This window comes from Homo sapiens, chromosome 3 (assembly GCF_000001405.40).
Source record: "Homo sapiens chromosome 3, GRCh38.p14 Primary Assembly".
Taxonomy (NCBI): Eukaryota; Metazoa; Chordata; class Mammalia; order Primates; family Hominidae; genus Homo; species Homo sapiens.
The window spans coordinates 123,118,055-123,143,833 of record NC_000003.12 but is presented as its reverse complement, the minus strand read 5'-3'; the positions used below and the strand labels follow the sequence as shown (position 1 = coordinate 123,143,833).

The following is a 25,779-nucleotide window of genomic DNA, read 5'->3' as shown; positions in this document are numbered from 1 at the left end:
AGTGGCTACAGTGCTTAGCCACATCAACATGTCAGCTCTTCCCAGGTGGATCCAAGGAAGAGAGACACTGCTAACCCTCAAGTGGGAGGCTCCACAACAAGAAGAGGAGGAACTGCTGGGTATACAGGCACCTCTGCTGCCATTATCTAGGGAGCTGCCTACTCCTGTTGGGCTATGATGCAGAAGAAAGGGTAGAAAAGGCATCAGCCCTTAGAATCTTCCAGCATAATGACAGAGAGGACCATGGTCTTTGGTCCAGAGGGGAATAGAGTGGCACACATGATGCCTTCAAGGGATGAACCAGAGGAAGAGCACTCCACCTGCCCTGGCAGCCCCAGGGGAGCCGGCAGCTGCTTGTAGCCCTATTACATATTGTACCCACACTACACACTCATCATGCTGGGCTCTAGGTACCAGACAGTGCCTCTCTTTTTTTTTTTTTTTTTTGAGATGGAGTCTCGCTCTGTCACCCAGGCTGGAGTACAGTGGCACACGATGTCAGCTCACTGCAACCTCCGCCTCCTGGGTTCAAGTGATTCCCCTGCCTCAGCCTCCCGAGTAGCTGGGACTACAGGCATGTGCCACCACGCCCAGCTAATTTTTTGTATTTTTAGTAGAGATGGGGTTTCACTGTGTTAGCCAGGATGGTCTCGATCTCCTGACCTGTGATCCACCCACCTTGGCCTCCCAAAGTGCTGAGATTACAGGTGTGAGCCACCATGCCCAGCCCCAGATGGTGACTCTCTAAAGGTGGGACCTGAGGTTTTTTTTTACCTTGTACCTCCCCATGAAGCAAAAGGATCACCATTTAATAGATACATGATAAATATTTACTGGTCAGCAATGAAGAGACCTAATTAAATAATTAGTAGACAACTCCTGGGTTGACCAGGGGCTTGAGAAGACCTCCTGGAGGTGGCAGATGAAAGGACACATGTGGGCAAGTTAGAGACAGAGGACAGAGGACCCAGTCAGGAGGGCAGGGGCAGCCTCAGAGAAATGAGGACGTCCCCATGCTCAATTCAGCAGTGCAGAATTCCGCTGCCAGGGCTGAGCAAGGCACATAGCCCCAAAAGTGCTCCTAAGGGCTCCTCTGGGACTGCTGAGCTCGGCCCCCCCAGAGGCTGCCCCTGGGCTGGGCAAGACAGCCTGGCTGTTCCTGGCCTTGTTCTCCACAGCAGATATTCTTAATGTCCCCTGCAGTCAGACATTGTGGAGATCATGATCAAAGTGGTAAACCCTTCTTCCAGAAAAATGCACATAGGGTTAGATGACTTTGGGAGTTCACGGTCTGACTAGACCCCACTTGGGATCCCCCCATCATAAGCTGTAGAGGTATCAAGGTCATCATTATTTTGAATGACAAGAATATCACTTTCCAGAAATGAACATTTAGCATCATCATGAGCCATGTGTTACCTAAATAATCCAGTCACAAAAGGGTTGTTTTGGTAAGTTGGCTGTTTGTTTTCCCCTCAGAAACAATTTTACACACCGATTACATGCAGATTCCCAGGGGCAACCGCAAAAGCCCATTTAATAGGATGCACCTGAAACATAAAAGCACGCAGTGCTATTTGTATTTCCCTGAGCCTGCTCCCAATGGGACAAGTGCAGCCCGCGATCCAGTGGGGACAGCAGGCAGGCCGCTCCCTCTAGGCAGCGACCCCCACCTCAGCAGTGAGAGGAAGAACTCCAAGAGGGACCAGGGAGAGCTGGGGCAGGAGTCTGTGCCTCCCAGGCACTGACATTCTTGAGATTGTCACAAAAGCCTCTCCTCCCCTTCCCCACACTGATGCATATACTCCACATGTATGTACAATTCCAGAGGGATCCTGGACTACCTGAACTTGCTCACAGAACTGGGGTTAGGAGCCCAGGACAAAGGAGACCACCGGACTCCAAGCCAATCACTGTCCAATGGGAGGCAAAGCGGAAGAACACGGAGAGCTGATGCACAGGGGCCCAGGCTTAGATGTCTTTCCACACTGGCCCACATGTCAGGAGTAAATGGAATAATCTGCAGAAGGTTCTACTGACTTAATATGAGGTATATTAAGATTAAAAAATTATTTTTTTGCTTCTCACTAAAATAGAGTGGAGTAAACCATCCTTTGGGGCCACGGTCAGGATGAAAAAGTTCTACAGCTCTTAAAGGGATCTCCCTGCCCCGGGGGCAACCCCAAGCTGCTGCTCCCTGCACCTGTCCAAGGTGAGCCCCCCACTCTCCTGCTTTCAGGCTGACCTCCCCTGACTGGGGCAGAGTGAGGGGGCTCACCCTGCATGAACAAACTGCAGGAGAAGGAAGCTCAGAGACTCTCCTGTGGCGGTGAGTCTATCGCCCGAGAGTTCAACCTGCTCTGGAGAGATGTGAGTGGTCCATGCAAAGTCCCCAAAGGTCCACTGCCCTGAGACAGACTGACTCAGCCCAGCAGCACATAGTGGAGGACACACTGGGAGGCCTCGGGAAATGCAGGCATGAGGCCCTGGGTGGCCTCCAGGGAGGTGGGAGAGGCAGGAAAGAGAGGCTCCCTTGACCACTCTCCCCATACCCTCCATGATATGGATGGTGCTGTTAGGCCAGCTGCTGGCAGGGCCCATGGTCAAGATGGACAGTGGGACTGGAGTAGGAATCAGGGGAGGGAAGACAAAGAAAAGCCAGCCATTGCCATTCACTGAGAATCACTGTTGCTTTCTAAAGTGACCCTGTTGATGTGGCAGGACTCCTGAAGATGAGAATTCACTGTGTGCTGGTAGGGAGGTTTACTTCATCCCTTTATCAGGCTCCAGGCCTTTGATGCCACTGCCCTGCCAGGGTGGCAAGTGGGTTTCATTCCACCTGCCAGCTTCCATCAGCGGTGGGCCTGAGACAGAGGCTGAGTCTGAGAACTCGCTCACTGGGAAGAGGAGCTGTGACCAACTTGCAACGTCTGCCACAGGCATGGGAAGCCAGCTGGGGTCAATACCAGGAGACCTCCAGTTTCCGCAGCTCGCACACATGGCTGTCTCCTGGGCTTTGGCCTCAGCTCCCAGAATTCCCCACCTCTATAAGGAAAGCACTCGCTGTCTGTGCTGGGCTTCCACACTCTATCGCAGCAGCCCCACCAGACACATGACACAGCTCAGTAGGTCCGTTTTACAGTGCCAGAAATTGTAGCTCTGGAAGACGAAGTGACAAATCCCCCAGGGCCATCACCACCTGCCACCTCTTCCTCCCAGCCCCTGCTCTGATGGATAGGCAACATCCACCCTGGACAACCCCTCGCAATCCTACCTTTGTTCTGGCCCCTGCTTTGAGTCTTCCCAGTTCACTGTAGCCCCATCGAATGATCTGTCTCTCTTCTAATTACAAAATACTTCTTATTCAGATATTTCTATGGCATTTAATTTTGTGTTGCTTTGTGACTGTGATATTGCTGTCTTCTGATATTTAAGGGCAGCCGGGGTATATTTTCAAAACATCAATCAGATCAGATCCCTTTGCTTAAAACTTTACAGTGGCTTCCTATCACAGGTAGATTCAAATCCAAACTTATTATGGCTACAGACCCCACACAAGCTGAGTCCTGCCTACCTTCAACCTCAACTCAGGTCACTTCTACTGCAGCCTCTGGCTCTCCTCTTCTCCCAACACACCAAGTTCATTTCTACCCCAGGGCCCTGGAACATGTTCTTTCCTACCCACCTGGAGCATACATACCAACATCTTCCCCCAGGTCTGTATGCGGCTTACCCCTCTTTACATCAGCCACTCAGGCTTCCACTCAAATTTCACCTTCTAGGAGACCCTCCCTGACCACCTATCCCAAAGGCGCCTCATGCTATCATGCCCTCTCCCAATATCCTGTTTTATTTTCTCAATTGTACTCAAAGCAGCTGGAGTAATCTGCTCACTTGTTCCCTGCCCATCCCCTCAACTGGAATGGAGGCTCTGTATGTGCAGGCAGGGGCTCGGCTGTCTTGTCTAATTGGCCACCATATTCCTGATACTGACCACGCTGCTCCACACGCTTTCTGAATGAATTAGCCTCATGACTTGTTAGGTTGTTAGGTTTACACCTGTACACACAAGGTTTGGCAGGACTAAATTCTTTATGGGCAAGGGTCATGGCTTGCACTCAAATAGTCGTTAATTTGACTAAACACCTCTAATTAGTAGAACTGGCAACCAAGCCAGTTACTATGCACATCCCCTCTCCTCTCCTCCCCACTACCATCTTTGCGCCTCCTCTGCACCTCACTAGGAGAAAAGTGTCTCCCAAAATCTCTAACATCTAAGGATGCTGTTCTAAAGTTTCCCATACATACCCTAGAATTCTCTTGATATTGTTAAGGTTTTCAATTCTAGCATCAATTCCCTCTGACCCTGAATAAGACACTAAGGCTAAGCAATAAACTTCTGCAAACAGAGTTTAAGATGAGGAGCCTGGCCAGGCCCAGAGGAGGAGAAAGGTCTGGCTGAGAAAACACCTCCCTTCCAGACACCCTCCTGTCTTGGGGAGCCGTGGGTGATGGATAGAGCTGGCGGTGACCTGAGGACCAGCCTCCTGGGCCTGGCCTTCATGATGTCCCTGGCTGTGGGACAGTTGGAGGAGGAGGGTTACATGCAGGGAGCGGGACTCCGGCCCACTGCATTTTGTGTCCTGATTGTGATTTGAGAGGCCATTAAGTTTTATTGCTAAACTTCCTTGTTGGGCTTTTATCATCTGTGTAAGTGCACTTACTCCGATTTCCGTGATCTGGCATAGAGGTCTGCACATCAACTCCTTGATCATGCTCTTTTCTGGCTGTGGGAATGTTGGCTTCCTGTCAACCCAAAGCCCTCGGATTCGTCTGGATTTCATTAAATTCAATTATACTTATGATTTTACTACAGGCCAGCTATAGGGCTTTCCTGGATGCTGGAACCAGAATTTCCCAGAGGACCAGATTAATCTGTAAAGCTCCCTGGTAGCCAGGGTACTGGGGTAGTACTTGGGCCTCTAGAAGAGCCTGGTTCCTGCCTTGCTTGGAATTTGGCTTGGGGCATGCCAGGGAGGGAGGGTTTCCTACAAATGCCAGCAGAAATACGGGCGTGGAGGGGCCTACAGAGACCTCAGAGCTCTTTTAAGGCTTCCAAACGCATAAGCACCAAAGTGGACTCCTTGACAGTTACAGGCATCTTGGGGCAGACTCACACACTCACAGATGCCTCTATTCATCACATGACCCCTCTTCTTATGCAAAGAGTTTGTTTTTTCCTTTATGTTAGCACAAAATGTGGATAAACAAGCTTTTAAAATTTTACTTCTAGGTTCCTATCCTAAGGAAATAATCAGACATGTAGACAAATATTTTTGCATTAAAATGTTCTTTGCAGCATGATTTATAATGGGAAATATGGTAAACAACTCAAACCTTCAACATTATGATGCTAGTTAACCAATTTACAGTGTCATTATATTCTACAGCAGAATATTATGTGGCCACAAAAAGCACGTACAAAAAAAAGCATTTTTAATAACATATGAAAATACCTACAAGATAATGTTAAGGGGACTATGTAAAGGAAAAAGATGCATAGAAAAGACTTAAATAAATAAAATTAGGGCCAGATGCAGTGGCTCATGCTTATAATCCTAGAACTTTGGGAGGTCAAGGCAGGAAGATTGCTTGAGGTCAGGAGTTTGAGACCAGCTTGGGCAACATAGTGAGACTCCACTGCTATAAAAATTTAAAAAATTAGCCAGGCGTGGTAGTGTGTGCCTGTAGTACTAGCTACTTAGGAGGCTGAGGCAGGAGGATCACTTGAACCCAGGAGTTTGAAATTGCAGTGAGCTATGATTATGCCACTGCATTCCAGCCTGGGTGACAGAGTGAGACCCTGTCTCAAATCCCTTCCTCCCACCTGGCACAATAGACAAATGAAAAATAGAGATGAATTAAAGAAAGAAATTAAAAAATAAAAACATTATAACAAAATATAGGGCACTATTTTAATATCCTAAGGGAGAATTTCCTAAACAACCCACAAATCCCAGAGGTCAGGATGGGAGAAGGCAGACTTGCAGAATGGCTCAGTGGTTAGGCTGTGGCCTCTGGGACAGCCTGGGATTTCATCCTGGCTGCACTTTTTGGCTATGTGACCTTTGGCACGTTTCTTGACCTCTTGGTGTCTCCCCGTCCTTACTTATAAAATGAGAATAATTAATCATGACATCAAATTCACGAATTTTTTATGAAGACTAAATCTGTTAAAATATGGAAAGTACCTAGAACAACGCCTGATCCATAGTAAGTGTGATCAGTGACCAATAAATATAATAGCTATTACTCAGCTACAAAGGATGTAAAGCTTTGTACAATGAAAGGCACCATAAACAAAATTAGAGCAAGAAATAGACTAATGGAACATGGAAAACACAGAAAACAGATAAAGATTAATATCTATAATTGTAGAGTTCTAGGTCAAGAATAAAAAGACAAATAAATAAAAAGACCTAGCAGAAAAATGAGCAAAGTGTATGAATAGGTGGTCCATGGAAGAAACATGAAAAGCTGATTATCACATGAAAAGATGTCCAGCTTCCCTAGAGGTCAGATAGCTGCAGACAAGTTGCTGTTTTGCCGAGCTTAGCAGAAATATAAAAGGCAGATAGTATCCATGGCTGCAAGGACAAAGGCTCTGTCACCCGCTGGGTTTGGGAAAACCTTTCTGTAGGGCAATTTGGTAGCATCTGCCAAAGCTCAAGCTTACTTACCCCAGGGCCAAGGAAATTCACTTTTAGGAATTAATCAAAAATATTTACACATTTTCCCAATTATATATGTTTACCAATGCTCACTGTATTGTTTGAATAGTGAAAAACTGGAGATAAATACAATACCTATCAGTAGGGGAATGGTTTAAAATTTCTGGCATATCCAAATTATAAAATACTATTCAATGGTTAAAAAGATTGAGGTAGATTTATGTGCCAATATCTACATTTACATGAAAATATCTTCGAGACCTATTGACAAGTTAAAAAAAGCAAATCACAGAAGAATGGATAGGAAGTAGTCCTACTTATGTTAAAAAACAAAAACAAAAAACCCAACCCCCTTTTTTTTTTTTTTTTTTTTTTTTGTCTTGTCACCCAGGCTGGAGTGCAATGGCATGATCTCGGCTCACTGCAACCTCTGCCTCCCGGGTTCAAGCAATTCTCTTGCCTCAGCCTCCCAAGTAGCTGGGACTACAGGCGTGCACCACCATGCTCTGCTAATTTTTGTATTTTTAGTAGAGACAGAGTTTCACCATCTTGGCCAGGCTGGTCTCGAACTTCTGACCTCATGATCCACCCGCCTTGGCCTCCCAAAGTGCTGGGATTACAGGCGTGAGCCACCATGCCCAGCCAACCAACCCCCTGTTGTTTAGGTAGAAGCACTGCGGAAGGAGAAGGAAGGATCCATCCTCTACTGTGAGTGGTGACCAGCCCTGAGAAGGGGCACGGCGTGGAGAGTGAGGGATTTTCACTGTCTGCACTATATTCTTATGTATCCCTTGAACCTTGCACTGCTGATAACAAGAATGCTGTTAATATTATTCTTAAATTATTTGTGCAATTAGAAAATACAAGTGGCCAAGTGCAGTGGCTCATGCCTATAATCCCAGCTGCTTGGGAGGCCGAGGCAGGAGAATCACTTGAGCCCAGGAGTTCAAGACCAGCCTGAGCAACATAGGGAGACTCCATTTCTACAAAAAGAAATCCAAAAAATTAGCCAGGTGTGGTGGCCCGTGCCTGTAGTCCCAGCTACTCAGGAGGCTGAAGTGGAAGGATCATTTAAGCCCAGGAGTTTGAGGCCAGCCTGAGCAACATAGTGAGACCCTGTCTCTAAAAAAAGAAAAGAAAAAAAACAGAAATAAATAAATGAATAAAATAAAATGACAGCATGAAGGCCCTTCGTGGCATGATAGTTACACAAATCTATACATGTGATTAAAAAAAAAAAAAAGGTCGATTTTATGGTATCCTCTTTTAAAAAATAAAAGTTAAAAATAAGACCAAAAAAATGAAAAAGACTAGCAAGAATGATGCCAAAAAGTAAAAAAAAAAAAAAAAAAAAAAAGTTGTTACCTCTGGATAATGGGGATTATAGGTAGTTTCTTTCCTTAATCACCTATATTTTACTATACCTTCTAGATTTTCTACAAAGGTTATATATTGCTTTGAGAATAAGACAAAAATACAGTTAAAAGCTTAAAAAAAAAGATGACAGCAGAAAATCTTGAGTCTGATGGGGACCTGCTGCCAGAAACAGCCCGGCTCCTGGAAGGCAGTGCAGATACATGCTGGAGGCAAGATATGGCAAAGAAAACATCCCATCTCAGACCTGTTGCTAAGGAAAATGGGTCGATGAGTCAGGGGGTAGGCAAGGGTAGAGCCACGTGGCCCCCAAGAAGCCCTGTAGCACAGGGGAGAGGAAGAGCAGGGGGTCCTCAGGATCCCCAGAACCTGCATGGGTGTCCACAGGCCTAGGAGAGACGAGCTGCTCAGGAACACCCCTCTCTGGGATGCCCCCCTTGCTCCCCTGAACATCCCCATATAAATGATGTCTACTCAGGTAGTGCCACAGCAGCTTGTCCTTCCCCTGCTAATGCAGACCTGAAGTTACTAGAGAGGGACAAAAAACAGTGACAAGAGGAGATGAGTGGCCACACACACTCTGACTTCTCTCATATGGAACGCCGCAGAAAAACACAAACAAAAAGGTGCCACGGGTGGCAGCAGCCACTGTCCTCCTGACACACCATTTGCAGAGAGCATCTCCGTCGCCTGCAGGGTGGGAAAACCGGGCCTGGGGCTGCATGTGAGGCCCCACTGTGAGGACCAGAGGGAGGTCAGGCACGAAGCCTTGCTACAAACGGGAAGCCAAGTGCTAGCAAGAGAGGCGGCTCCTGGCCTTGGGTCCAGGCAGCACCACAGACACACCCCTCTCAGAGCCCTCTGCTCACACTCGGCCTGTCCTGCCCAGGAGGCCCGGCCCAGCTCCTGGGGGACAGGGCTGTGGGGCAAACCTGGCTGTAAATCTCAGTGTGGCCTGTGGCAGAATAGAGATCGCCCATATGAAGGGCCTAGCACCGTGGCTGCCCTGGGCTCATTTATTTAGTGACAACTTAGGCATCAGTTGGAGAGGCCACTGAAGTATCTGTGGAGGGTTTCTAATGGGCTCTTGCTGGGAGAGAGAGGGAAGAAAGACAATGGGGAGATGGGGGCAGATGAGGTGGGAAGTGAGTGGCAGGAGTGCTGGGAAGAGGGTAAAGGAGCAGGGCCCATGGTGTCTCCAGGTCAGTCATCACTTACGGTGATGGGTAACACAGAACGGGGAGGGGTGCCGTGTGCCTTTCCTGCTGAGAGCCCAGCAGGGCAGCCTCACAAGCATCCCATCAGTTCCAGGCAGAGAAGCAAGTGCCTTGCCTCTGGAACCCACAGGTGCCAGAGAGCACCCCCCTGGGGTGGCACAGGTCAGAGGAAAGCTGAAGACCCTTTCCCTTCCTGGCCTTTCTAAGCAGGACCGGGAAAGAAACTAACATTGACTGGGTACTTACTACAGGCATAGAAGCAACAAAGCAGACCAGCCTGGGCAACAAAGTGAGACCCCGTCTTTACAAAAAATTTAAAAATTAGCCAGGTGTGGCGGTGTGCACCTGTAGTCCCAACTACACAGGAGGCTGAGGTGGGAGGATCACTTGGGTCCAGGAGGTCGAGGCTGCAGTGAGCTGTGTTTGTGCCACTGCACTCCAGCCTGAGTGACAGAGCAAAACTCTATGTCAAAAAAAGAAAGAAAAGAAAAGGAAAAGAAAAGAAAAGGAAAAGAAAAGAAAAGGAAAAGAAAAGAAAAGAAAACAAACAACACTGCAAAGAAAGACCAGGTTTTCTCTGGGAATCAGTATCAGGAAGCATTTTAATTTTCTTCTCTATACTTTCCTATATTATCCCTTGATAAAATGTACATGTATTACTTTTATAATTAGCATAGAGTCATAAAAAATAAATCAGCTTTTTAGTTTGAGCCCCACTATTTCGGTTTGTTGGGGTACTTCAAAATGTCAATGCATGGTCTGACATTTCAGCTGGTCAGCCTTTTCCCAAGGCTAACCCTGCCAAATGTGAAAGTATGCCTTTTTATAGCATTAACAAAGTTGCTGATTAAAAACAAGTACATACCCTCTAGACAGACTCAGGCCAGATTCACAGTCACAATGTATCCAGGGGATGCTTCCCCTCAGGGTAGCTCCATCCTGTCTGATTCTCCCCATCACAGTGAGGAAAACAGCAACTCATTTTGTCAAATGTCTTGATAAAAGAAAGACACGCTAATTCATCAAGCTCAGCAATCCTATCCCAAGAAACAAACCAAGCGGCGCATTCAGCGATCTGGAGTAGAAGCTGTGGTCTGCTATGTTGATGGATCCCAATTTGTTTCTGTGAGTCTCTAAAATGGTCTGTCTCCAAATCACTCCGTATTTGGCCTGGGACTGACACCTGGAACACTGTGATTTCCAGAATTCACCCTTTCTGCACTTAGGAAACGCAGGATGACACTGCTGGTCTCTGGCCTCTTGACATTTGTCCTTTACTCCAGGTCCCTCAAACACTGCAAAAGTGGTTTCTTGATCACTGGGGATTCTCAGAAGCACTCTGGCATGAGATACAAAGCCAGGCAGCTATGAGCTCTCTGCTCTCAGTTCACCTGTCCTGAGCTCCAAACTCCCTAAAGCATGTACATTCCATCCCTCCCTAGGCTAAAGACCATGCTCTTAATGAAGAAGTGTGTAGAAAGGGAATTAATCCAGAGCTATTACCATCCGACAGGAACATTGACGGGCAGTATATCAGGAAGCTAACCACATGCTTTTGCCCTGATCCCTCTCACTCTGCCAGCCCAGCAGAAATAAACCCACATGCGCACAACCATGAATGCCCAGGGGACTGGTGACCTCTCCCAACCCTAACTGGAAGGACAGACACATGGGGATGAAGACCCTGGAGGTTCCCAAGGAGGAACTGGAAACAGCCAGCCAGTATCTGCTGTCACGGCTGGGACAGGGGTGCAAGGATGGTGATTTCGGCTCTAGATTCAACATCAATTCCTGCAAGACTCGCTTCCAGCAGCAGCTCTGAGGCTGGCCAGGGAGTGTATTTTATAGCTAGGAAGAGCACTGCAGTGCTACCTGGCTGGCCTCATGGCGGGCACTTTTTTGAGTACCTTTACCCTCGGGGATGCCCTCACCAAGGCCCTAGCAGACCTGAGGCAGACGCCCTTCATTGCGCTTCATCAGGAGAGGCCCACAAGACTAGAGGGTTTTTGAAACTTAGTTTTGGGGGCTTGTTTTGGTCTCTTTTCTAGGAACTCAGAAGAGCTATAGGAAACTATTCCTTTAGAGCTATTCCTTTAGAGTCCTTTAGAGCTATTCCTTTAGAGTCTCCTAAGAATTTAGCACTTGTAAGAAATAATGAGTTAGGAAAATCCATGGTAAGAGTATGTTTATGAGCAATTCCCAGGCTAGCCAAACTCATGGATACTGTGGGGGAAGGGGAGGCGGCCAGGAGACTGGGGCTCAGGCTCTGACCCTGTTCTTCCTGGAACCTAAGGCTCTTGAGGCCTGAAGCAGCTCAGGACTCACGGAGCCGTGGGTGGTCTATGTCATTTCTCTGTGTGACGGTCTCATCTGTAAAATGGGGCTAATTGTACTCACTTTGTGGCACGCTGGGTAAAACAAAAGATGACCCTTCAGGAAGACAATGTGTTACCACTGTAGGGTGACACACAACTGTTGGCATGAGGACCCTATGATTAAGAGGAGTAATAACATTTCCTCCTGATAGAATATGCCTCTATGGACTAACCATCCTCATGCACTGTGACCTCACGATTTCAGCCCTGCTCCATGAGGCACTGACCTCTTGCTTTTCCTCCACAATCTCTTACTCACAACACTCTGTGCCCACACCTGCCATCCCCTGGCTCTCACGCGGCCTTGTCTGCCTTCCCAGGGGCAGCCTTGTCCCTCTTGGAAACCACCTATGGTCAATTTTCCACTCTCCATGGGAGTAGGAAGACACTGCTCCAGAAAACTCCTGGGCCACAGGCCTTCCAGCCCTTATCGCAAGCACGTTTGATAGCATTTACAGGATTTTACTTCCTTGATTCACTGTGGTCATTTCAGAATGAGAATGCAATGAGGTGAAGCAGACAGAAGGCATTCTAGATGCTGGATGATCTGCAGCTCCAGCCTGGCCTCCCCATGCCCTCTCAGCTCCTGGGCAAGCACAGGCTCTCCTGGGGCCTCAGCCCGCGACCACTTGTAAGGTAAGAGGTGACTACTGCCCTAGATAATATCTTTTTTTTTTAAATTAAAAAATTGTTTTTAGAGACAGGGTCTTTTTTTTTGAGATGGAGCCTCGCTCTGCTGCCCAGGAGGGAGTGCAGTGGCACAATCTTGGCTTACTATAACCTCTACCTCCCAGGTTCAAGCGATTCTCCTGCCTCAGCCTCCCAAGTAACTGGGATTATAGGTGCACGCCACCACGCCCGGCTAATGAGACAGGGTCTTGTTTGGTTACTCAGGCTGGAGTGCAGTGGCACAATCACAGTTCACTGCAGCCTCAACCTCCCAGGCTCAAGCAATCCTCCCACCTCAGCCTCCTGAGTAGCTGGGACTACAAGTGTGCACCACATGCCCAGCTAATTTTTAATTGTTTGTAGAGATGGGGTCTTGCTATGTGGCCCAGGCTGGTCTTGAACTCCTGGCCTTAAACAATCCTCCTGCCTTGACCTCCCAAAGTGCTGGGATTATAGGTATGAGCCCCCATATGAGGTATCAGCCCTAATTTTATTTCCAGGCCCAGTCTGTTCTAGGTAACATCTCAGGGTGCTTCCAGCTTAATTTCTCCAATTCATGCTGACTGGGAGGAAGATGCTCAGAGCTAGGGGTGGTGGAGACTCACTGAGCTCTAGCTAAGGGACAAGTAAAGCCTGATCAGGACTTCTGTGTTGTTTCCATGGCAATGGGGGGTAGGCCATGTGCACTACGAGGGTGGGGACCTCGCCTGTCACCACTGCATCCCCTGGCTTAGCATGGGTCCTGGCATCCAAAAAATAAGTGCTTCCTGGGTTCACATTGCAAAGCGCCACACTCATCCTACTCTGAGAGAGGGGAGGGTGTGGAGGGGGAGGAGCAAAGTTCCACTCACATGGGGCGTGGAACATGACGAGGACAGAGGAGTGTTCCTTCACAAACTGGTCAAAGTCTTCATCGGTCAGGTGATAAACGGAGCCGCCCTCATCTGCCCAGGGAGTCTCAGGGACCTGGGGCTGTGGCGGCTGCGGACTGGAAGACCAAAAACAGGCAGAGCTCAGAGCAGGCCCTGGGGCCTTGGCAGCCCTTCTAATTCCAGGCCCCTGGACCCAAAGCTCCCCATGGGCTCGGGACGGCCCACTCCAGGGGCTCAGCCTTTAACAAACCAGAAACTGCCCTCATGGAGGTGCCGTGGGGTGAGTGGTGTGGCCCTGCCCACCTCCACCTTCCCCGCAAAGCCCCAGACAGGTACTTAGCTGATATCCTGTTACAAACAGTGGCTTCTGGCTACAGCTCTCTAGATAGCCTAAGAAATCTCACTTCCTCCTGGGAATCTAGGGGCTTGTTAGCTTTCTCAACCTATTTCAAACTTTCAGCAAACTGGAAAGAATAAATAGCAACAGTGAATGGTGACCTTTGGAAAAGCTCACTGTTGTGTTTAAAACTGCCCACTGGGCAGTGGAGGGGAGGAAGAGGGTACAGAGAGGAGGGGGTGAGGAGGAGAGAGAGAGGCCAGGTATCTCAGAAAGATCAGATCTAGGCCATGCAAGGGGAAGCTGCCACATGGGGGTGCAGGGGAAGGTTGCAGCAAGGGAAGTAAGGCTGGGGGTATCCTAACTACGACAGCGTGTATGCTACATCACTAATCCTTCCCAGAGGCCAACAACCAACTTATTTAGTTCTCCCAGAAGCCAAATCAACTCTACCACTCATCAGCTGCAAAACCTTAGGCAGCCGCCTGACCTCTCTGGAGCCTGTTTCCGCAGCGTGACTGTGTGCCAGTCCTAGGTCATCATCTGCTAGGAGGAGGGAGGCTCGCAGGGGCCCTCCCTTGCCCCAAAGTTCAGGACAAGGTGGCTGGTGGTGACACAGTCTCCCTGCTGCTTTACTGTCACAACTACCTTTGCCAGAGCACCTTAATTGCAGCTTTGAAAAAACCCTCAAGGATGACAAATGTGAAAAGACAACCATTGTGTCGCACTTTTGAGAGCCTACAGGAGGAAATATTTTAAAGTTCCAGCAGCCAGGGCTGGAAAATCCAGAGGGAGTGAAGTGGCTGACACAATGGAACTCTGCCACCCACTTCCCTCCGCAGCCGGGTATGATGTCGCCTTCAGAAGCCCTCTCTGGCCCTTCTGACTGGGCCCCACTGGCCACCATGGCCTCCCAGGTCCCAAGAAATGGAAGGAGGCAGGGAGAGGGCAAATCAATCTCAGTCCATGCATATCCAATGTCAGATGGGACTGGTGACAAAATCAAGCTTCAGAATGAGTCACCAGCCAGACAATGGTCCTAGACAAACATCATGCAATCTAGGTTCCTATACTTGGGCTCAAACTACTGACCCCTCAAAACACCACCAATTACACTTCAGAGCAATTTATCTTTACAATACACCTGCACACATACAAAATTATGTGCATCTGAAGGCATTCACTGCAGGTTGTCATAGCGAAAATTGGAAGGACGGGTTAGGTAAACTGCTGTCCATCTACACGAGGGAGGGCTGAGCACTGCAAAGAATGATGTTCTCTATGCACTGATGTGGACAAACTGCTGGAGATGGATGGAACAGTCTAGAATTTGCTAACTTTTGCATTAAAAGGGGGGAGATAAAATATACTTATTCACATTTGCTAATATCTACATACAGAAACACTCTAAGAACATAAAAGAAACTGGTCTAAGTTGTAAATTCTAGGGTATAGGAGGGAGGATAAGGAGGAAAGAAGTGAAAGCGAGACTTTTGAATGTATTCTTTTTAAGCACCTTAAAATTTTGCCAGCCTGGGCAACAGAGTGAGACTCCATCTCTACAAAAATATGAAATAAAAAAAATTAGTCGGGCATGGTGGCCTGTGCCTGTAGTCCCAGCTACTCAGGAGGCTGAGGTGGGAGGATCGCTTGAGTCCAGGAGTTCAAAGCTGCAGTGAGCTATGATGGTACCCTCTGCACTCTGGCCTGGGTGACAGAGCAAGACCTTATCTAAAAAAATAAAAAAATAAAAAATAAAAAATAAATTGAATTATGTGAATGTAATTGACTCAAAAACTAAATTTTTAAAAAGTCAAGCAAGTGCACAAATATAGGATGGAGAAGGCTATATTTTGCAGGAGTACAGGCACCGGAAGGAAAGAACGGGAGGAACTTCTAGTTAAACACAGAGGCGAATACACTCTAAAACTGCTAAAATAACAGTTCAGGAGTTTCAAAACAAAAAACAAAAAACTTTCTGGTCAGAAAAAGCAGAGTAGGGGCCCAAGAACCACACGCACACAGAAGACAAGGCTCTGAAGGGCCCAGGGGCCCACTCCTTGAAGCAGAGCTATAGCCTGTGGCTGAAAACAGGGTTTAGCGGTCACTGGAGTGGTCAGATCCTCAGATCCTAGGGCTCTCCCCTCTCCCACCCAGGAGATGACTGGAAGTTTCTTTTTGGGAGAGGACTGGAGAACTGGGCACCGTGGTAAGAGGATGTACTGGGAAGAGAGGGACTGAGTGAGAGTCTGAACCCAAAACACTGAATGATGCTTTTCACTCCCCGCCTACCCCAGGCCGTGAGCTCCTTGAAGACTGGGCTCTCCCTCACCCCTTTACTAACTCCTGCACCCAATACACAGCAGACACTCAATACATGCTCGTTGAACAGGAGCATTCCTTGAATGAGGGAAGGCTCATTCCCCTCATTCAGGGAAAAATGGCTTAAGGAACTGGAAGTGTTTAATTCGGAGAAAGGACATAAGAGAGCACAGTGGCTATCATCAAATATTCCAAACTGCATTAAGAAAAGAAATTAAGATTTATTTTCTAGGGCCCTGAAGAGGAGAACCAACACTAACAAGTGGAAGCTCCAGAGAAACTCCAGTTCGGTGTAAATAAGAATGTTCTGTCTTCAGCAGAGGAGAGGGAAAGAAGGCCAAACTGGGAGTCAGAAGACCTGACTTGAGTCCTGTTTCCTCCACTAGCCACAATCAAACAGCTTAAAACAGTGACAAGATAGTGCATTGTGGTCCTTTCTTCACCTAGCTCTCAGGCTCATATAGGCCGAGAATGGATGTGAGATGCTTTGTAACTTTATAAAGTACTACCCAAATGCTCCTAGATATCATTTATCACCTAAATCATAAGAGTCATTCAAGCATGAATGGGGAACCTCAGAATGAGTCCAATGGGAGTGAGGAAATGCAAACATTGAAAGGAGAATTGCTGGTGCAGATTTGATGACTTGTATGTTCCCTTCTGATCTGCCTTCATGCGACTGATTTCATGAGCTCTGCAGTTTGGAGAGAGCAATTGTTCCAGGCTCTCTAGGACTGGGAGGGTCACACAATCAGAACCTCATCTAAGGGAGATGCATGTGCCATAGATGAGAAGATGCAACTCTAAGCATTACGAGTCCAGAAAACTTGGTGTTTGCTAATTCAGTTCACTTCTGGTTGGCATAAAGCTACACAGGCCAAAATGACCCTGCCCAAAATGGATCACTGCTTATGTACCCCTCCACCTGTCTGCTAGCCCAACTCACCAGTGACAGCTTCAAGTGGCCAATGAGATACGTGGCCATTAGGAACACAAAAGACACCAGTGCCACGATCAACACATCTACTCCAGAGCCCTCATACACTCAGATGCCAGGGGCTGACTCCCTGCCCTGCCTCACCTGGTGCCACCCTTCCCTGGTCCAACCACCAGAGTCACGCATTGAAGGGCAGGACCTAGGTCTTCTCTCCTAGGCATTTGAGAGCCATTTGGAGAATTAGCTAGGCTGGCTTCACCCTCATCTTTGTATACTTGGCTGCACAGAAGCCCTGAGCAGCTAAGAGCCAATGGAGAAACCTAGAGAAGCAGGAAAGATGAGGTCACTACTGCCCAAAAGGATGTGAGGGGAAACTGGAAAAGGCTTAATCCATGTGGGACCGGGAAAACCCACATGCAGAGCTAGATCTATGTAGGGGAAATAATAACAATATGCTATCTTTGGGTAATAGGGTGGGGGAGGACTTTTTGTTTAACCACACTTTTAGGTTTTTCTATAATAAGCCTATCTTAGTTGAGTATCTCTGAAATCAGAAAAGACTTTAAAAAATTAAGCCAGCTGGTAGCAGAATGACATTACTAGCTCTTGCAGAGGATAAGGCCGTTAACAAGAGCTCCTTCTCTCCCACAGCGGGGGATGGGGGGAAGTAGGAAGTGGGGATGGGGTACCCAGGACCAGAGACTGGAGGCAGCTGTGGGGTGCAGGCCAGCCGGAGCAATGCGGGTGGGGGAGCCGGGATGGGGTGTGCCGAGAGGAGAGGGGTGGGAGGATGGAGTAGGAGGCTCCAGCGGGGAGATAATAGCCTGTTTCAGAAACACCATTGATGTGCTCCCTTTGTCTAGGGTTAGCAGGTAATTCTGAATACTTAAAAAAAACCACATAAACCTTATCCTTCCAAAAAAGATATGAGGGTGTTTTGAAATCAGAAAAGGTTAGAGAAGGGAAGGGAAGCAGACAGATTTTATGCTCTAGTGACAAATGAGATTGCTATTTGTTGAGACCTTCTCCCAAAGCAGAATGAGATGTGTCTGGATAGAGGAGAGGACACGCTTATTATCAAATGAAAAAGGAAAACAGGAAAGCAAAGGCCCAGGTTAAGACAATGAACACATGATAATGGGCAGCAGCCTTCCCAGGCAGGGGCTGGAAATGAGGTAGCCGATGGGGACAGAGATGTGAGAATGCTTCCAAGAAATAAAAGACATGATGCAAACATGTGCTAGCACTTGTGCCTTATCTCCCGAGAGTAGGCAGAACAGAAGATGGAGACTCTCCACCTTTAGAAATCTAACAGTTAGTTTCATGTGCATTTTTTTCCTGGTACAAAACCCACCCTTCTTTCCCATTTTGAAAATACACATTTTCAACCTCCATATCTTGGATAACTAATTCTTTAACCCTGGGGTTTGCACACTGTGTTCCTAAGGTAATGATGTCAATAAATGTCCACTGTGCCGGCAGCTGAGGGGAGGGGCTCCGAGCAGAACTTGAGGAGGCTAAGTTGGACTGTCGGGGCTGCAGGGAGCTGGGTTGGTGGCGGGGACCCATCAGGGCCCTGCTACTGCTTACCGGCACCACCCCTTTACTGTGCCTCAGGGACCTCATTCATAAAATGAAGAGAACGGTAACATCTTCCTTACAGTGCTGTTGTGAGGATTAAATGAGAATCCATGTAAAGTGCTTAGAACAATGTCAGCCACAAAGGAGAGCCCAAAAGATGTTGGCTGTTGTTACTCCAGCACATATGCACAAATACTCATGAAGCAGCAGTGGCTGGTAAGTGCCAAACTCGTGACACACAGAGCGCAGCCTGAGTAGGGTGCGTGCTCAGCGAGGGTGGCCTGGGGAGGCTTCCAGAAGGGGACATCGTGAGCCTGTCGTGGAAGTGCTGGTGAGAAGTGGGAATGGGGTGATCTGGCAGGACAAAGCAGCAGGCCTAGCACAGTGGAGGCTCCAGGTAAGGAGGCAGGAGCCAACAGGGTGGTGGGGTTTGGCATTACAAGGATCTAATCATGTTATAAAACAGGGATCACAGGTTGCAATGAAGCAATGCCTGTGGGGGTTGAACAGTAAAGCACTCAGCAAACCTAAGGCATTAGAATATTTCTTAGTACCTTCACAGCACCTAAGACAGTGCTGTGTTTGAAATAAGTGTTCAACTGACAATTCTATTTTCAGAGAGACCTGCAGTGGAACCTCTCTCAAACCTGGTAGCCTGGGTGAGAAATACCTCTATCCATCAGATAGATGTGTTGAGGAGAAACTTGATGTGAAATGTGGGAAGAATTCAGAAAGGCCCTGACTATTCCAGAAGAGCTGACAGGCTTAGGCAGCCCCTCCCCAGTTCCAACCCGTGGAGACGGGAGGTAGGGGAGACAGACTCCACACCCAACACCCAGGCAGGTCTGATCATCACAGGCCAAAGTCACACCAAATCCTCATGGCTCCTGCAACCTAAATTCCCACAATCCCCACAGTGGCCTAGACTCAAGCCAGAGACAGCTGTGTAGGCAGTACCACAATTCCCTTCCTCATTCTTTCCCCCAACCTCCAGCCAGAGCCCTGCGACCCTCAGGCCCGGCAGATGCCCCGCCCTCTGGGTCCACGCCCACTGACACACACACACCCCACTTACTTCTTCAGCCACTCCACAATGTCCTCAGCTGTGGACCCATAGTTGTCATACTGGAACAAGAACCGTCCTTTCCTGTGAAACGTGGAGAAACAACGTGGGCTCAGTCACGGATGCAAATGCCACCCTGAGATTATGGTCAATCACCAGGGAGGGAGGTGAGCTTTAGAAGGAAAGTGGGGGACGTACTCAAAATAGCAGATGGTGGGGAAGCCGCGCACGCTGTACTCCTCCTTGATGTTTTCAAATTCAGAGGAGTAGACATTCATCCCGGCCAGCACCTGGGAGGAAGCGGAGAAGAGCCGTGTGGAGCCTGTGCCCCACAGACACCCTCTAGTCCACACGCCATCTGTCCAGCTGCTGTCCCACCAGAAAGACATATGGGACAAAGCCCCACAGACTGATGTGCATCAGGGCTGCTGAGAAACAAGGCCAGCGAAGCCAGCCGGGAATCATGACCTGGCGCTGGAGAAGTCAGGCAGCTGGGCCGAGTGCTGCACTCCGCACGCCTGCTCCCTCTGCCTCCCTGCAGGAAGAACCACCCCAGAGCAAAACCAACGTTCTGAGGGTTGCAGAAGAAGCCGGGCCTTGCCATCAAGTTCACATTACTCTCAGAGAGGGGCCACTGCCAAGGATGTGTTACGCCTATTTCTCTGTTCATGTCAACTCGGGTTGTACTCTTTCCTAGGCTATGGAAATAAGTGGCTTTCATACACCAATTCAGCTCTGTACAACGTCCTTAGACACCTTCCTGGATACCTCACGGTTTGCTCACCTAGGCTTGAGTGTGACGTTTCCAAACCTCACAGCTTATATGTGGCCAGGGAGGCCGTGTGGTTCTCATAACACAACATGAGAAACGAGGCACCTGCCTAACTCTCCTCCTTCCAGGCCGTGCTGTGTCTCCCCAGTGTTTCCTCCTGTTGGTGACCATTACCCACAGCCTGGCTGGATCATCATCTCAGAATTCTGAACATATTCTGGCTCCAGGGGTCCACATGTCCACTATCCCTGAATCAGAAAGAGTATTTTAGTAGCTGGGTAACCGACGATGTAGCTAAATACTAAGACTGACTCATATAAGGAATCCCCTAAAACTCCCTCTGCAGTGGCATGATCATAGCTCACTGCACCCTCTAACTCCTGGGCTCAAGCAATCCTCCGCTGTCAGCCTCCTGATTAGCTGGGACCACAGACATGTGGCAGTATGTCCGGCTAGTATATTTTTCTTTTTGGTAGAGATGAGGTCTTGCTGTGTTGCCCAGGCTGGCTTCCAACTCCTGGGCTCAAGCGATCCTCCCACTTCAACCTCCCAAAGCACTGGAATTACAGGCATGAGCCAGCATGCCCAGCCAGGACTTTGAATCTGTTCTTACCAGAGAACACAGCTAGAATGGCCCGACACACAAAGGTTGTTCCACAAAGCAGAGTGGCATAGAAGCGAGGGAAAAGTAAGTAAAAAAAGCCAGCAGTAGTTACAGAAGCAGAGAGAAGAAACCCAGGAAGCTGAACTTTACTGAATAATACATAAGGACACAGAGAGAGAGGAAAATAAATAACCGTTTCAGTGGACAATAAATTGATTGCAAAGACAGCTTCCACTTATGAGTCATGTGACCTTGGGCAAGTCACTCACCCTCACTGAGGTCCCTTGCTGGAAGATGTGACCATCAAAGGGCTCTTTAGAGAACTAAATGAGATGAGAGGTTTTAGCACAAAACTGGAGCTCAGTAACTGTCATCTTCCTACCAAGTCTTCCTGGTGATGGGAGCCACTGTGCCTCTGGCCTCTCCATTCCTAGGGGCACCTGGATATCTTTCCAATTGTTTTAAGTCCCTAGCACAAGGCCTCACATACAGCAAGGACACAATAAATGCTCACTAAATTCACTGTTTTTTTTTTCCTAGCCCATTTTAGGATGCAGCAAATAATACAGGAAGAATAAATTTGAATTCGAATTTACTTGAAGCCCTGGAACGCTCTATAAAAGTCATTCTGCTCATTTCCCAGACTGCTCCAGCGGCCTGTTCCAGTAATATTTGTCTTCTTTAAAAGTCCTTTTTTTTTCTGCCTAATTGATCTCCCCAGTGTCAGTGCACATTCACCACAGATTAATCTTACACGTCCTCCTCGCTCATTACATCACTTCCCTGCACAAAACCTTCCAATTCCATTGAATATAGGCTAAAATCCAGCTCCACATTCAATGCCCATATGTTACCTATTTCATTTTTGAATCTTTCTTTCTTACAAAACTCTTCATTGTACACCTGTTAGGGTCTAGATTTTTTATTCTCCCAGGAATAAGACAGTCTGAGATTTCTGCACAGGAAGGAAGTTGGACTGTCTGCCTTCTCAGACATCTTGCTGAGTGCAGCAGCAACATGCAGTGGCTGGAAGCATGGACTCAGGATGCCTGGGTTTGAGTCCCAACTCCCCATGGGGTCGCGCATTTCCTTGAATGAGTCACAGTTGTCTCTGCGTCTCACTTTCCTCATCTGCAGCCACCTCATGTGGTTGTTGAGAAGATTCAATGAAATAATACAAGATAATCAATAACACAAAATGTATTAGCTATTTTTGTTACTAGGACTAGGAGGTGCTCTATTTCTGCCCACACTTCTGGAACACTCGCTGTTCTCTCCTGGCCCCCACTTGGTGCCTTCCAGTCCCCTTACTGAGGCTGCCCATCCCCCGCCTCCTGGCGACCCTCCAGACTCACCCATCCCTTAAGGCAAATCAAACCTCACGTCTCTGGGCAGCCTTTGCAAACCACCTTCGCTTGGGGTGAGCTCTTAATTCTCCAAGTTTCTGTAGCACTTTTGTGCCATTTTGGGGGCATCTATTAGTTAATGAGGCAAAAATTTTTGAAAAACTACATACAAACACTTTCTGGAGTTAGAATTTGTGAAGTCAAATGAGGTGACACACCTGGTCTCGGCCTGTGGAGAAGATAAGAACACAGCCTCCCTGCTCCCCACTGCCATCTGCATGCTTGGGGCCACTCAGCTGGCGTGACATGCTCTTCTGTGTGTTCAGCCCTGCTGCCAGGAACCATCACGGCAGCTTCTTAGCGTGGGCTGCATGTGAGCTTGCACTCAGAGGAGAGTAAGATTTCAACAGACGTCCCGGGATGGGGAACTGGAGGCAAGGCAAAGAAAGATGTGGCCCAAGAAATGGAGCACATTTCCATCTAACTGGAAGGCAGGATACACAGAAAGGAGAAGACATGAAAGAAAAGGCTGAGTGAGTTGGCCAGGATCACTTTGGGAAAGGCTTGAAATACCTAAGAAATCGGGACTGTATTCAGGAAGTGACGGAGAGCTCCCGAGGGTTTCTAAGTAAGAAAGCAACCCTCAAACCAGTTGTATCTCTCGAAGCAGAAAGGACGAGCTATGAGGGAATGCTGTGGTCAGGAGACAAGTCAGCAGCCTTTGGCCACCAGCTAGCATAGCCCACTGGACAGGGCTGGTGGGCAGGGAGAGGATGAAGGGTGCATGAGGAAGATGCCTGATGATGCCTCAGTAAAGAGAGGTGGAGGTGGGGGGTGGGGAAAGAGCCTGGCCCCTGGGGAAAGGACTTAATGCAAAGTTCACAGTCTGCCAGATGGAAAGATACTGAATTTTCAGACATGCATTTGAGACACAAGGGAAAAAATCCAGATGGAGCTGTGAAGCAAGCCATCTGACACGTGGCACTGGCACTTAGGGGAAGGACTTGGGCTCCATGGAGCTACGTTTTGTTGAAGCTATGGACAGAGATGTGGTCACTGGAAGGTAGACTGTAATAAGACAAAACCTTGCTCCAATGTGTTAACAGGAAAGCGGAACCTTGGGAGCACCCCCATCTAGCCGGTGGAAGGAATGTGGTGCAGGGCAGCTGTAGGGAAGAGAGGGGATCAGTCATCTGTGTCTATGAGTGCTCTGTGGGGTACAGGGCTTCTTCCACACAGCCCATTTGTTCCTCACCACAACCCAGTGTGGGCAGGGTTGGCATTATCATCTCCATTTTACAGATGGAGAAATGGAGGCTCCAAGGCTAAGGAGCTTGGACCAAGATCTCCCAGCTGGTTAGCAAGAGCCAGCACTAGAGCCTGGTCTGTACAAATCTGTCGTCATGATGGTTCTATTTCATGGTGTTTATACCCAGACTGGCCCATCATGGCCGAGGTCCACCAAAGACTAGGCAAAGCTCAAAGGCTCAGTGCAGATGTCAATAACTGGCAAGGCTGGGAAGAGGCAGATGGAGACAGGGCTCATTCTGATGGCTGCTCTGAGATGGGGGCAGCGTGGCTGCTAATGAGGATGTCAATTAGCAGGAGTAGATGGGACAGACGCGATGAGTCACCAGACGTCAATGACAGCACAAAAGAGGCAGCTGTAAGTTTGGAAATGGCAAAGGCTGTGCATCCCTGACCTGGCATGCCTTCCTTCCTAATGATGTCAATCAGGTTGAACACCTCCCAAAAAATCTGTAGAGGAGGAAGATTTTTGACCCTTGCCAGAGACAGACCCAGCCAAAAAGGCTCAAAGATGACAGAGATGAAGAAGTGACAGAAGGCCCTAATCCAGCTGTGTTTCAGCAGCGAGGAGGGGGTGAACTTTGATTTCTGGGGAATAGCAGCCCATTTATTAGTCCCACCTCTTTTCTGTGTGTGAAGACAAAAAGCAATTGACACCTGTGGTCACTCAACCCCTCCAGCCAGGTCCCCAGTTTCTGGGGAGCTGCCCCTGCAGAGTAAGCCCTAGCCTCTAGGGGCCTCCTGCGTGGGTGATGCGTGCAGCGGCCAGGGCCCTTCCCTCTTTATGTAGCTGGGAAAGGGCTAGAACTTTCCAGAAGATGCTTTTCTAGGAAATGAAAGGGAAAATAGAACAAAACAAACCCCAAGCAAGAAAATATACAAACAAAGAAATGAGTTTACACAACCCAGATGTCTTAGGCCAAGGCAGCCAACACCTGGTCACAGCTTGACTTGCCCAGCTTTGCAGACAACGCCCCTGACTTTTCTGTAATGTTGAGGGAACTGGAATGGGTAACTTTTATATTTCTAGACCTGGGCCCAGGCAGAAGAAGCTGGAATTCATTTTTTCTTTTTTTTAGAGACAGGATCTCACTCTGTTGTGCAGAGCATGGTGCAATCATAGCTCCCTGCAGCCTTAAACTCCTGGGCTCAAGTGATCCTCCCACCTCAGCCTCCCAAGTAGCTAGCATTGACTACAGGTGTATGCCATTGCACCCAGCTAATTTTTAAAATTTTTTGTAGACATGGGGTTTCACTATGTTGCCCAGGCTGGTATCTAGCTCCTGGCCTCAAGTGATCCTCCCACTTTGGCCTCCCAAAGCACTGGGATTACAGGCATGAACCACCATGCCCTGCTGGAAGCTTATATTCTGAACACGAGTGGTCTTTGCAGTTAACCTTATAACCTGTCCCACAAATGTCCTTCCCACTATGCTTCCGGCCTTAATAACAAATGCTCTGAATTCCTTTAAAAGAGAGGACCATCACTTTTAATATAGAGCTTAAAATAAAACATACCCCCAGGAGTGATGAGCAAAAACCCTATTCATTCATCGGCATATACTGGATATCTACTGTGAGCTTAGCCCTGTGCTATGTGCTAAAGAAATAGACATGAACACAACTCCTGTGCCCAAGAAACTCACATATCATAATTAGTATCAAGTGCTGAACAAAGTGATCTGGAACAAAAGCAAAGATGAACGTATCTGGCTGTGCGTGACAGGGATGAGCTCTGTGGCAGCGTGGGATGGGGCCTAGAAGAATACTGAGTTTGGCAGTGGATGCAGCATTGGCTGAGAATGGCCCACGAGATGCACTGAGACTGGCATCAAGTTCTCTTCTGCTTCAGTGGGTCTGGCTGGAATAACTTGTGATCTGATTTGGGGCTGAGCTGCTTACCTTCCACAGCACAGAATTCGGGAAGTTGAGCTGAGCAGATTTCTAAGTGTATGCGGGTGCAGGCAGAGAGAATACTGTGGGTAATTAAGTCTTTTCTCCAGGCTAAATAATCTCAAAATATGGTGTCTATTGAGGTCCCAATAATGTGAAGTGAAACTTCCCTGGGGTGATGTATGTGTGCCCCAAGGCCAATGTCTCCAGGCAAGTTACTAAAAATTCATTAGTGAGAAGCAAGCAGGACCTCAGTGTCACCCCAGAATGAGGTCAAAAGAGAAAGCATTGGCTCTCTGCAGCCCCATCTTGCAGCTTGGCGAGCAGGGCCGTCTCCATGCCCAGGTGCTGCCACTTAAACTTTTTAAGTTGACTTTG

General features: G+C 48.2%; 1 protein-coding gene across 4 annotated transcripts in view; it reads right to left on the bottom strand.

The window, feature by feature from the left end:
- The window catches only part of PDIA5 (protein disulfide isomerase family A member 5), a 95,080-nt gene that overhangs the window by 18,271 nt on the left and 51,030 nt on the right, over positions 1–25,779 (bottom strand). For 2 of the 4 annotated variants that reach the window (XR_007095629.1, NM_006810.4), the window contains exons 9-11: positions 19,677–19,768; positions 19,491–19,562; positions 13,218–13,354 (exon numbers count right to left, since the gene is read on the bottom strand). Coding sequence is in view for 1 of the 4 variants with exons in the window: in NM_006810.4 (NP_006801.1) it covers positions 13,218–13,354; positions 19,491–19,562; positions 19,677–19,768 (301 nt within the window). In the remaining 3 variants the exon portion in view is untranslated. The remainder of the gene's footprint in view (positions 1–13,217; positions 13,355–19,490; positions 19,563–19,676; positions 19,769–25,779) is intronic. The other 2 variants (NR_028444.2, XR_007095630.1) reach the window with 1 other exon arrangement.